Here is a 13,717-nt window from a genome sequence, read left to right as displayed (position 1 = left end):
CAATTGACTTTGCCCAGATCCATCAGAGGAACCACTATCTATGTCAGCTATAGCCTTACAAAATGTGTTTCTTCAATAATGAAACTTGAAAGTCAGATCACCCCTCGGTTCATGGGCTGAAGAATGGATGTTGTATTAGCAGCTGTGAAAACAACATGAACCTCCTTATGCCTCTCCATCAGAGCTCTTGGGGGGCAGGTGCATTGTCGGTGAGCGGTAGCATTTTCAGGGGAATCTTTTTTTTCTGAGCAGTAGGTCACAACAGTGGGCTTAAAATACTTCGTGAATCATGCTATAAAGAGATGTGCTGTCATCCAGGCTTTCTTATTCCATTTATTACTAGTATTATTTTGGGGACAAGGTCTCACTCTGTCACCCAGGCAGTGGCGTGATCATAGCTCACTGCAGCCTCAAACTCCTGGGCTTAAGCGATCCTTCTGCCTCCCAAAGTGCTGGGATTACAGATGCGAGCCACTGCCACCCAGCCATTGTTGTTTCATTTGTAGAGCATGGCGGAGTCAATGTAGCATAATTTTTAAGGGTCCTAGGATTTTTCAGAATGGAAAAGAGTGTTGGCTTCAGTTTGAAGGCACAGCGTAATGCCCCTAACCAGAGAGTCAGCTTGTCCTTTGAAGCCCTGCATTGACTTCTCTCTAGCTATGAAAGTCCTAGATGGCATCTTTTTCCAACAGAAAGCTGTTTCTTCTACATTGAAAGTCTGTTGTTTAGTGTAACCACCTACATCCATGATCTCAGCTAGATCTTCTGTATAACTTGCTGCAGCGTCTCCATCAGCACTTGCTACTTCACCTTGCACCTTTATGTGATGAAGATGGCTTCTTTCCTTCAGCCTCCTGAGTCAACCTCTGCTGGCTCCAGGCTTTGCTTCTGCAATTTCCTTCTCTAGCTTTACCGTCACAGAATTGAAGAGAGTGAGGGCCTTGCTCTGGATTAGGCTTTGGCTTCAGGGAATGTGGTGGCTGGTTTGATCTTCTAGCCAGACCACTTCTCCATATCGGCAATGCCAGGGGATCTGACAAGGTTCTACACCCACCCATCAGTGTCACTCAGCTTTGCTGGGCTATGTGGGTGACTTCCCCACCCCTAGCCCACACACATGGGTTTTTTTTTTCCTATGGAAGAAAAGACCACCCAATGAAAAAAGCACAGGTTACCTACTCAGAGCTTGCTATAGCAGGGGAGGCAGCCATTATCACCTGCATTTGGCAGAGACAAAGATAAGCAGAGGAGTGGGGAAGCTTCATGGTAGGAAAACGGGGAGGCTCAGGTGTGCCCTGGCTAGAGGCCTGTATTAGTCAAGGTTCTCCAGAGGGACAGAACTAATAGGATAAATATATATATATATATATATATATATATATATATATATATATATGAAGGGGAGTTCATTAAGGAGTATTGACTCACACGATCACAAGGTGAAGTCCCACAATAGTCTGTCTGCAAGCTGAGAAGCAAGTCCAAGTCCCAAAACCTCAAAAGTAGGGAAGCCAACAGTACAGCCTTCAGTCTGTGGCTGAAGGCCCGAGACCCCCTGGCAAACCACTGATGTAAGTCCAAGAGTCCAAAAGCTGAAGAACTTGGAGTCTGATGTTCAGGGGCAGGAAGCATCCACCACGGGAGAAAGATGAAGGCTGGAAGACTCAGCAAGTCTGCTCATTCCACTTTCTTCTGCTTGCTTTATTCTAGCCTCTCTGGGAGCTGATTAGATGGTGCCCACCCAGATAATGGGAAGATAACTTCCCAGGCTAGTGACTTTTTAAGATGGGTGGGCTTCCTGGCCTACTGACTGTGGATGATTGGTGGGCTTCCCGGCTGGTGACTGTGGATGATGGGTGGGCTTTCTGGGCTGGTGACTGTGGATGATGATGGGTTTTGTGTGCTGGATGCTGCAGGTCGTGGAATTCTGTTTTTACATCTGGGCTGGACATTGTCCATTCAGCCTCTCACTCCCTTAAGTGTTGCATTGAGGCCCAGGAGCTTCTCTACCCTCAGGGATGTGCAGGGTGGCCCAGTGGCTCATTGCTTTGGCTCTGATGTCCACCTGCCTTACTAACTGACTTTGTTGAGTTGGAGACTTGTTTTGCCTAGAATAAAAATAACTATCAACCATTTTCCAGGTACCTGGCCTGGAAGCTCTAGTGGCGCAGTTTTCTGTTTCATCCTGGCAATTGTGGAAGGGACCATCACACCCCTCCATCACACCTCTCCATCACACCCCTCCGTCACACCCCTCCATCACAACCCTCCACATTCCTCCATCACACCCCTCCATCACACCTCTGCATCATACCTCTCCACCACACCCCTCCACACCCCTCCATCACACTCCTCCATCACACCCCTCCTTTACACCCCTCCATGACTCCCCTCCATCACACCCCTCCATCACACCTCTCCATCACACCCCTCCGTCACACCCCTCCACCACACCTCTCCATCACACCCCTCCGTCACACCCCTCCACCACACCCCTCCACACCCCTCCATCACACTCCTCCATCACACCCCTCCTTTACACCCCTCCATGACTCCCCTCCATCACACCCCTCCATCACACCTCTCCATCACACCCCTCCGTCACACCCCTCCACCACACCCCTCCACACTCCTCCATCACACCCCTCCATCACACTCCTCCATCACACCCCTCCTTTACACCCCTCCATGACTCCCCTCCATCACACCTCTCCATCACACCTCTCCATCATACCTCTTCATCACACCCTGCCACACCCCTCCACACCCCTCCGTCACACCCCTCCATCACAACCTTCCATCACTCCCCTCCTTCACACCCCTTTACATGTGGAGAGAAGGAGACAGGCCTGGCATGCTGTAAGCTCAGAAAAATGCTTGCTGTGCTTTCGTATGATGACAGTTATTCTTCTGTGGTCCTTGCCCCATCTGTGTAGGACTTCGTTGTGCACTCGTGAATGTGGTTTCCAAGATGATGCAGAGTTGACACCTGCATCTTGCTCTTCTCATCTTGCCTGTGATGCAGTGGCACTAAGTAGCAGGAACCTGCAATCACAGGACATGTCCACATGCTCACCAGTGCAAGAGAGGGAAGGAGAGGAAGGAGAGGCGTTCCTGGAGAGGCGTTCCTTGCCTGCCCCTGCTGGTGCCCTCTTCGGGTCTGATCTCTTTTGGGGTTGGAAGCCCCAGGGTTCAACCTCACCAGGAGCAAAGCTCGTAAATACGGCATCAGCTCCCAGTCCTGGGAATTCACTTGTGGGCCGGGGGCTGACAAAAAGAGCAGAGTGTGTGTAGGCAGCTCCCTCGGGGCCACCTTCCTGACTCTGGAGGCTGGCAGGCAGGGGCAGCGCCTCCTCCAAACAGCCCCGGGCGCAGGCTGAGCACCTCCTGAGTGCTGTAAGGGACTTGGCTTTCTAGGTACTGTAGGAAATGCCACTGTAGACTTCAGAGGAACACGTTCTCTCATTTTATAACCTCCTTGGTATAAACATCATTATTTTATTGCAGAGTATTGGGAAGTGGAGGAGAAATGCCCATGACTGCGTAACCCTGAACAGTCCTGACTCCATTTGTGAGCTGGGCCCTGGGTGGTTCTGAACAGTCCTTGCTCCATCTGTGAGCTGGGCCCCGGTTGGTTCCTGCAGTTCCGTTTTCTCACAGAGCAGGCAGCCTGGCTCTATATTCCAGCTTAGCCAGACACCAAAGCCATTCCAGTTTTCTTGGTAGGGATGGTTCCTTCTCCCAGTGTCCTGCTGATGAAAGGAAGAGGGATCCCAGAAGGGAAGGAACTGAAGGGATGCAGGAAGGGGCTGTGTGCCCCAGGGGATGCGCGTGCTTCTGGAGCTGAGGCTGGGATGGCAGAGGGAGGGGTGAACCTGGCTCACTCCCACTACTGGCCTGGGTGCTGCAGTCTCTGGGGGCTGAGTGACCTCCAGGGCGGCCATCAGTCTTCAGGGCCTCCCAACAGCAGGGTTTGGTGGCTTTAGGCCTGGGGACAGGCAGTTAGGTAAGAAGAAGAGGAGGAGGAGGAGGGCCCAGGAGAGGAACTGAATTCAGAGGGAAGCTGCCGGCCTGGAATCCGGAAGCCTGGGACTCTCTTCGGCCCTCCAGCACTTCATCAAGTATGGATGCTTTTCAAAATATAACAGACACTTGTCAATAACAACAACAAAAATAGTCAGCTTTTCCCCATTTGGTTTTATTAATCTGAGGCCATATTTAGGCAAATCCAATCTACTCCTGTGTCTAAACTTGTCTCTAATTTACATGTGTGTGGTACGTGCATGTTAATTTTTTTTTTCACTTCAAGAAAAAGTATGATCTAAAAATGTATTTTTTCCCTAAAGAGTCATGGGAAGAATCAATTTATCACAAATAATTTTAGTGATAGAATTTCTAATAAAAATAGGATTTTTCTTGAATTTTTACTAAATAAAAACTTGAATAATTAGCTACTGCAATGTATAGAGTTACATCTTCAAGAAAGAACATTATAGTGTGTCCTACATGCTGGGAAATTTTCCATATTGCTCGAAGAAATGAAAAGAAGGGATACGAAGTTGAGATAAAAAGTGATTTCCATGCCAAAGCTCTCATGTGTGGATCATAGTTCAGTCTTCATTAACTCCTTACTAATTTATTGCAAAATAAGGTAATTAATTCAGTGTTGAAAATATAATTCCTTATAAACTAAAAGAAAAGATTTGTTTAAGGAATACATAATAAGTACACACACATACACACATACATATGTTATTTTCCTTCTTTCTGTTATAGAACATTTAAAAAACTTTTTAAAAAGTAGAATAAAATGATGAACCTCTGAGATTCAAACATTTTCAATATTTTGCCAATCTTGTGCCAACTATTCCCCTGCTGTTTTTTTCTAAAATACATCAAATCCCAAACATCTTGTTGTTTGACTTGCAGATGACTTGGTCTGCATCTTTCACGGATCGGGCATTTTCCCCACGTAACCACGACACATATGACTATCCTTCACTCTAAACTAAGAAGACTTCCTTTACCTCTATAGCATCAAATACAAGTTCATATCCAAGTTTCCCTAATTATCCAGAAATGTGTTTTTACAGTTGGTTTGTTTGAATTAGGAGCCAAACAAGTTGGCATTTCCGATGATGGAACCTGTTTCAGCCTCTTTCCTCCCTTCCGTGGCCCCACTGGCTGGTTGCAGTGTCTGGGTCATTGGCTGCAGTGCCCCCAACCCTGGATTTGCTGTGTCCTTGTGGTGGTGTTTAACATGCTCCTCTACCCTTGAATTTCCTGTCAATTGCAGTTAAGACGAGGGTACTGCCAGCTTCACAGGCGTGCAATCTCATGGGGCCTTGCACTTAAGAAGGGCTCTGTGCTGGGCTTAATGCTCGGCCAGGTCTGCCCTGAATCTTGATACCTTTGCCTTTGAACTTGTGTTTTGGAAGCACTGCACAGCAGGGGCAGGAGCACAGGAGATTTGCATGATATGCACGTCTGCCATTCCTTGCCTCTCCATTCACACGCGGCATTGGTGACACAGTGAGCACAGAATTCCAGTGACCCTAGGATGCACGGGAGACCAGCAGGACTCGAGGCCAGGAACAGGTCACTGTGTGTGTTTGCCACTGAGTCTGTGGGAAAGCCACACCTTCCACATGAGTCCACTTCAAATGTAGAAAGAAGGCAGTGGCCTTGTGAATAACACCAACAACCAAAGACCCTATTGTACTTTTTCTTACTTATTCTACTTTCGTGTATTAGCCAAGCACTTACACTGAAAACAATGCATGGACGGAAAGAAGACGGGAAAAGCCACAGTTCCTTCTTTCAGTTCTTCCATTTTCACCAGTAAGCTGCAGGCAGTGTCAAGAAGGCAGTAGCACGGCCAGTATCGAGAAGTGAAATCAAAACCCTTGGTTTAGTTTTGCACAGCACTTCCACTGTTAAGGTAAAAATTAAATATACATACATATGTGAGCTACAAAATAGGAATCGTGTAATCTCTGTGTTTCTGCATGGGGATCTAATGCTTTTATATTTGTATTTAAAACTGACATTGCACAATATAAAATGAACAGTAACATTCAGCTAAAACATAAAAATTGAAATTTTCTTTACTTAGGATGACCTTAAGTAGCAAATAACAATGGTAAATTATTAGAGAGAACAGAGGAAAAGGAAAAGTTTTGTTTTTTAACACTGTTAAGAGCAGTTTTCCCTGTTTTGTGAACAAGGGACTGTGTGTTTTCATTTTATAGTTTCTCCCCTAACCTATCACTTTTGAAGTTGCTGCCCTGGCTTCAGAACCTATGAGTGTGGAGTAAAGCCCCACCTACACCTGCACAGAGCTCGGGCTCCCCTCCTCACTCATATGCTCTGTGGTCACTGTCCTCTTCGTCTCTAGGTCCCAGCAGACCAGGAGCACAGATGGGTCAGCCTACTCAGTTCTCCACTGGGCTCCCTGTTCTCAGAATGGTCTGTGTGTGGAGAAGACTCCTAAGTGCCTGGGAATAGGTAAGTGAGTTGGGGCAGAGGCCTGGCAGGCATCCTGGAGAGGGAGGATGTGACGTGGACTGGGTCAGTGATGGATGGTGGGGATAAGGAAGAGAGGGTGAAGGCAAGATTCTTCTCTACAGGGCACTGAAAGCCAGTGCCCGGCTAAGATAGATGTGGGGGTGAAGGAGAGACTGGGAAACTGGGTTCTGGGTTTCTGGTTTGGGCGACTGGGTGGATGGGGTGTCTTTACCTGAGCTGCTTCCTGAAGAAGGGGTCAGGGTTGTGGGAAGAGACTTCGTGTTCCACTTGGGACCTGCTAAATTTGAGGTACCTCAGGATCGTGCCTGTAGCCATATTCATCATGGAAGAGGGCTCCTGATTTGGGAGTTGGTGGCTCATATATTTCAGCCATAAAAAGATATGACATTATCAAAAGACAGCCATGGTGAGAGAAGAGGCGAGGGTCAAGGAGAGAATGTTGGTGAGGGAGAAAAGGGGATCCATAGAGAAGGTCAGAAGGGACAGCCACAGAGACGGAGGAATGCAGGAGGGGGCATTGGCAGTAGAAGCTGGCGTGGGGACTGTTGACAGAGCAACAAGGCAGAGAACAAGAGGAGCCAAGTCCTGAAATGGCCCACTGGGACAACAAGAGGACCCAGGCTGGAGAGCTGTGGAGGAGGCAGAAGAGACAGATCTTACTGACAGATCCGGTGTTGGGGACTGATGAGAGGGAGATCCAGAGGAGGTGGCAGGAAACTTGCAAGGCTCTCATCCTGGGGAGGAGGTGGAAGCAGAGGACGGGAGGCAGGGAGAAGGAATGAGGCTGGGATGATGGAGCTGAGGACGGGAGGCAGGGAGAAGGAATGAGGCTGGAATGATGCAGCTGAGGACAGGAGGCAGAGAGAAGGAATGAGGCTGGGATGGAGCTGAGGACGGGAGGCAGGGAGGAATGAGATTGGGATGATGGAGCTGAGGATGGGAGGCAGGGAGAAGGAGTGAGGCTGGGATGGAGCTGAGGACAGGCAGGGAGAAGGAGTGAGGCTGGGATGGAGCTGAGGACAGGAGGCAGGAGGAGTGAGGCTGGGATGATGGAGCTTAGGATGGGAAGCAGGGAGAAGGAATGAGGCTGGGATGGAGCTGAGGACGGAAGGCAGGGAGGAATGAGATTGGGATGATGGAGTTGAGGATGGGAGGCAGGGAGAGGGAATGAGGCTAGGATAGAACTGAGGACGGGAGGCAGGGAGAAGGAATGAGGCTGGGATGGAGCTGAGGACGGGAGGCAGGGAGGAATGAGATTGGGATGATGGAGTTGAGGATGGGAGGCAGGGAGAGGGAATGAGGCTAGGATAGAACTGAGGACGGGAGGCAGGGAGAAGGAGTGAGGCTGGGATGGTGGAGCTCAGGACCACCTGACTTTATCTAGGCACCTTCCCTGCCGTGCTTCCCACTCCCACTGCGTGGTTTGAATGATGTGTGTCCCCTCAAAATTCGTGTTGAAACTTAACCCCCAATGCAGCAGTGTTAAGAAGTGGGGCCTTTAGGAGGTGATCAGGTCCTCATGAATGGATTAGTGCCTTATGGAAGGGCTTGAGCAGGGCACTTCCACCCCTTCCATCTCTTCTGCCACGTGGAGACACAGCAGTTCTCCGCTCTGGAGGATGCAGCCATAGGGCTGCGGAGATCAGCCCTCACCAGACACCAGACCTACCCTGATCTTGGACTTCCTACCTCCAGAGCTTTGAAAAATAATGTTCTATTCTTTTTCTATAATCTATCTAGTCTGTAGTATTTTGTTACAGCAACACAGATGGACTAAGACACATCCCAACAGCCACATTCATGGCAGGGCTGCCGTATTGGCACAGACTCCTCCCCCAGGCTCTCTGATTGGCTCAGAGGTGGGCACATGGTCCACGCTGGGCCAATCAGAGCCCTTCTGTGCACATACTTCCGGTCCTCTGTGCGATCATGATCCAGTTCTCTACTGTGTTCTCTGCCGTGTACCCTGTGCTGCAGCTGGCCTGATTGAGCCGCATCAGCCCACCCCCTGCCCTGGCTTCCTTTTGGGTTTGCCTGGTGGGGAATCTCAGCAGGGGATCAGAGGGGCAGAGAGTACTGCCAGGGCAGGGTACTTACTCCTGGCTTCATCCCAACTAGTTTCCTGTTGCTGGCTACAACCCCCAGTGAGGGTCCCGGCTCCCCAAGGCAGCCTCTCCACGTAGGCGTTCAGGGCCAGGCTCTCTGCCCTCGTTCCTTTAGGTGAGGGGGGCTAACAGCCTCACCGTTGCTGGCCTCCAGAAATGATGCTGTCCCCTGTGGTTTCCTTGCCCCCCTGCCTACACATTTGTAGATAGTCTCTTTACCAATTCCTCCTGGGATAAACCTGACTCAACTGTGCCAGCTGGTTTCTGCCAGAACCATGGTCTCCACCATGGCATTGGAAACAAAGCTGAGAAAGAGAAGTCATGTTTTGCTTGGGTGGTGGAACTAAGGACATGTCCACTGTGTGGCATAGGTGGGCTGTGGGTGAAGCGGATGAAGGCGATACAGAGCGAGGACGTGGCCTGAAACCGAGAGCAGCATTCTCCCTTCCCTGCTTCCATCCGTTCCTGGTCTGCGTCCCAGCCCTGGTACGTAAGGCTGTCCCAGAATCCCTGTAAATTCACTTTTCTGTTAAATGATTCCAGATCATTCGGTTATGTGCAACCAAAAGTCCTCACCCATACGTCATCTTACAGCATTAAAGCTTCAGGCGACTTGGGTATGTTTTAAAAACAAAAACATAAGAATTGTTTTCTTCCTTCTAGCTACCAACTTACTCACAAACCCAGCACTCTATAAAATGTTGATTTCAGGTACTGTTAGAGAAAGGTGGTCGTTAGCAGAACTTAGCAGGGATGACTCAGGCCATGCACCCTGGGCACTGGGGAAGCATCATCCTGTGAAGGAATCCAGACATTCGAAGAATTTACAGAGAGAAAAATCGATGACGGGACTACAGCCATGCTGTCACGTATCTGAGCCACAGCAATTTTAGCAGAATTTCTAGAGACCATCTAGAAATTCTCCCTGCTTATCCTTTCACTCACCTGACCATCTGACATCCATCCTGGGCCACTAGGTCCTGCTGGTGTCTGAACCGGTCCAGCCTTGTTCGGAAGGCATTGATGCTTAGTGCTGGAGCACACAGGAAGGACTGTGAATGAGAAAACTATAGTCATGCATCACTTAATGACAAGAATATGTTCTGCAAAATGCATTGTTAGGCAATTTCATAATTATACAAACATCATAGAGTGTGCCTGCAGCTCCCCTAGGTGGTATAGCCTATTACACACCAAGGCTGCATGCTGGATGGAGCCTATTGCTCCTAAGCTGCAGACCTGTACAGCATGTGACTGTGCTGAATACTGCAGGCAACTGTGACACAATGCTAAGTATTTGTGTATCTAAACATATCTCAACATAGAAAAGGTGTAGTAAAAATGTAATATGACAATCTTATATGGAACTGCCACCGTATATGTGGTTCTCGTTGCCTAAAATGTCATCCTGCAGCACAGGACTGTACTTCTGTGGGTCAGCTTTACTCTGAAATGTCTGTGTCTTAACCTGTAATATTCAACCTGGACAGTGAAGAACTTAGTACAAGATATGGTGCATGTAGTTTTGTCCTGGCCAAACTTTGTTTTTCAGGTACACAGAGGCCATTGAGAATGTTGAATAATAACTGAAGTTATGCTTCCTGCGGAGATGGTACTAAGAAATGCTGTATTCCAACACTAATATTTGTGTATCATTGCAAGGGGGTCCTGGACCCTAAGCCAAGGACCCTGTTTTGATCAGTTTCTTCATGTGAGGGCTGACTGTGGGGCCACACATTGTGATGGATCAGGAATATCTTTTTTTTTTTTTTCTTTTGAGACAGTTTCACTCATTCAGGCTGGAGTGCAATGGCGGGATCTCGACTCACGGCAACCTCCGCCTCCCGGGTTCAAGCAATTCTCCTGCCTCAGTCTCCCCAGTAGCTGGGATTACAGGCACCCACCACCACGCCTGGTTAATTTTTGTATTTTTAGTAGAGATGGGATTTCACCACGTTGGCCAGGCCGATCTCAAACTCCTGACCTCAGGTGATCCACCTGCCTTGGCCTCTCAAAGTGCTGGGATTACAGGCATGAGCCACCATGCCTGGCCAGGAACTCTACTAAAAATACAAAAAATTAGCCAGGCGTGGTGGCAGGTGCCTGTGGTCCCAGCTACTCAGGAGGCTGAGGCAGGAGAATGGCATGAACGCGGGAGGTGGAGCTTGCAGTGAGCCGAGATCGCACCGCTGCACTCCAGCCTGGGTGACAGAACTAGACTCCGTCTCAAAAAAAAAAAAAAATTGTGTATTTATCTTATAAGCAACAATCAAACATGTGTTACTGCTTTTTTAAAATGTTAAATGAGAACTCAGCAAAACTTCTCCACTCTGAGGTGTTCCAGATCAACTCTGGAGTCTAAAAGCTCTGACCTAGAGAGACACCTTGAGTCAACAGAGACCGTAGGCGTCGCAGTGGGCTACAGAGGAGGCCAGGTGTCCTAAACAAACACATTTGCCAAGCCACCTGTTTGCTTGTGAGCACCAGGAGCAAGAGAGGAGCAGGGATACCCCAAAGTTCTGCTATGGCTTCATCCCTCTGCTTTATTTAAATGCAGTGGGGTTCGGCATGGCTGTTAAACACTAGGTGGTTTTAGAAGTAATGCAACATCCGCTTGTTCCTCCAAATCAGAGCTGTGATCCTGCTCGCCCACTGACTGTATTTCAGCTGCCCGGGTGTCAGCTTATCATCTTTTTCCGCAGCCTTGTCATCATTCTCAGTGAATTCCAACATCTCCTTTTTACCATGATTCACTGAAATCACAAGGCGCATGCTAGTTCTCAGTGTCAAATCCTCCATCTTCCACAGAAGTGCCCCTTTCTTCCATTCTTCTTATGCAAATGTAACATTCTCTTCCAGTTCATTTTTCTAACAGTAACGTTTGTTTAATTCACAAATTAATTCTTGTAGACATGGCTGTTGAATGACCCCGATTGGAAGTGACTTGTCTTGCTTTATGTCCTAAGACCATCTTTTTGGCCTCTATCCATCTGAAGGCAGCTGCATCAGGCCTTTCCTTTCGTATTCCGAATGGGAAGCTGCGGCCCCACTCTCTCCAGGCTGTCTGCGCCGCCCGCTCCCTGTTGGCTAGCACATTGGAGAGGGCAGCCAGGCCCAGGGCAGCTGTGACTGCAGCCGTCTTGCCCTCCCATCTGCTTCAGCAGAGCCCGTGCTGGCTTGGAACACAGGACGGACAGCTTCTCCTGGACCCTGGTTCCTGCCCCTGACCTTGGGATGTCACCATCAGCAAATCCCCAAAGGCTCAGATTGACAACTCCTATTAGGATTCCATCTGCTCATGCTTTAATGTTTTTGACCTGGGAGAGATGAAGGCTTGTTTTTCCTGTGTCCACTGTGGGGACATCAGTGGGGAGCTGGCCCCAGCCCAAGCCTGTGTTCTCCATTGCTATTATTTGCAAGTTAATATAATGATTTGAGCCAAAATAAACTCAAGACAAGCTGCAGAAATTCTGCAAGTTATCTAAGCAAGTGTGTGAGGTGCATCTGATCAAGCCCTTACTGAGAAGGGTGGGTGCCCAAATCCTGCCATTTCCCACTCCTGCTTGGGGAAGGAGCCCTTATGGGTCACTGTGGGGATGGAGTGGGACCGGGGGATTTCTGCCAGAGGCTGCTAATGGTGCGAGGGGTAGGGGCTCTGATTTGTCCTGCCAGAGTCCACCGGAGAAAGCTATACTTTCAGTGTTTGAGGCGCAGGATTCTGACCCTAAGGAAGGTGAGACAAGGCAGGAGTCAGGGTTGGGATCCTTCCAGCAGGCGTTCAGGGCCAGGCAGACACGTCCAGTGTGAGGCCAGGTCAGACATTACTGAGATTCCAGCCATCCAGTGGGTGGGTGAATGGGCTGTCTTTTAAATGGGTGTCCTGTGAAGCCAGGATCATCCAGCCTTTGGGTGAGATGGAGCTGGGCATGTTTTGATCTTTGCTAGGGTTATCAGAATTCCAGACCAAATTACAGCCAATGCTCAGCACCTGATGGGTATTATTGTTTGCTACCCAGGCTAATCTCATGTTTCTACGGTTACTTTCCATTCTCCTCTGTTTCATTGTAGGAATCTCGATAAGCTTTTTAAATTTTTTTCAGGCATAAGTTATTTTCCCATTGATGTGTTGCTGTGCTCATTAGGCTAACTCTTTTTTTTTTTTGAGTCAGAGTTTCACTCTTGTCACCCAGGCTGGAGTGCAGTGGTGTGATCTTGGCTCACTGCAACCTCCACCTTCTGGGTTCAAGCGATTCTTCTGCCTCAGCCTCTTGAGTAGCTGGGATTACAGGCATGTGTCACCACACCCAGCTCATTTTGTATTTTTAGTAGAGATGGGGTTTCACCACATTGGTCAGGCTAGTCTCGAACTCCTGATCTCAGGTGATCTGCCCGCCTCAGCCTCCCAAAGTGCTGGGATTACAGGCATGAGGGCTCTTTTTGTATGTTTTATTTAAGTGTCCAACTCAATGGTTCTTAACACATTCAGAGATAAATGCAACTGTCTTCGTCTTTTTGTGCTGCTGTAACAAAGTACCACAGGCTGGATAATTTATAATGGACAGAACTTTACCAGCTGACAGTTCTGGAGGCTGGAAAGTTCAGTTTCAAGGTGCTGTCAGCCTTGATATCTGGTGAGGGCCCCAGTCTGTGCTTCCAGGTTGGTGCCTTGAACACTGTGTCTTCCAGAGGAGAGAAACACTGTTCTCACATGGCAGAAGAGTGAAAGAGCCGGGAGAGAACTCACTTCTGAAATACCTTTTATTAAGGCGTCACACTCACCCATGAGGGGACATGCTTGTGACCTAATCACCTCTTAAAGGCCCCACCACCCAAACCATTACATTGGCAGTTAATTTTCAACATGAATTGTGGAGCAGACAAACATTCAAAGCATAGCAGCAACCATCACCCATTTCTAGAAAATTGTAAGAAATCCTATGCCCTTTAGTATCGACCTCACTATTTTCCCCTCCCCTCACTAAGCAACTGCTAATCTACTTATGGATATTCCTTTGGGAGTGGATTGTTTTTTGCTTAGCATGATGTTTTCAAGGTTCACCCGTGTCGTGTTAGTACTTCTTTCC

At 48.5% G+C, this 13,717-nt stretch overlaps 1 protein-coding gene across 1 annotated transcript in view, besides 2 other annotated features; it reads left to right on the top strand.

The window, feature by feature from the left end:
* Positions 1-9,270, top strand: part of NDUFA10 (NADH:ubiquinone oxidoreductase subunit A10) — a 132,901-nt gene extending 123,631 nt beyond the window's left edge. The window contains exons 10-11 of the transcript NR_136158.2: positions 6,398-6,507; positions 9,005-9,270. The gene's annotated coding sequence lies outside the window, so the exon portion shown is untranslated. The remainder of the gene's footprint in view (positions 1-6,397; positions 6,508-9,004) is intronic.
* Positions 4,818-5,318: an enhancer, noted in NCBI's record as "NANOG-H3K4me1 hESC enhancer chr2:240835811-240836311 (GRCh37/hg19 assembly coordinates)". NCBI's record gives its function as "activates a minimal SCP1, AML or CMV promoter by ChIP-STARR-seq in naive H9 embryonic stem cells {active_cell/tissue: H9 hESC(naive)}" and the evidence as "EXISTENCE:reporter gene assay evidence [ECO:0000049][PMID:30033119]".
* Positions 5,319-5,819: an enhancer, noted in NCBI's record as "NANOG-H3K4me1 hESC enhancer chr2:240835310-240835810 (GRCh37/hg19 assembly coordinates)". NCBI's record gives its function as "activates a minimal SCP1, AML or CMV promoter by ChIP-STARR-seq in naive H9 embryonic stem cells {active_cell/tissue: H9 hESC(naive)}" and the evidence as "EXISTENCE:reporter gene assay evidence [ECO:0000049][PMID:30033119]".

Source organism: Homo sapiens, chromosome 2, assembly GCF_000001405.40.
Source record: "Homo sapiens chromosome 2, GRCh38.p14 Primary Assembly".
In the NCBI taxonomy this organism is placed as follows: domain Eukaryota; kingdom Metazoa; phylum Chordata; class Mammalia; order Primates; family Hominidae; genus Homo; species Homo sapiens.
The sequence above is the reverse complement of the archived record's forward strand: the minus strand, read 5'-3'. Positions and strand labels throughout refer to the sequence as shown.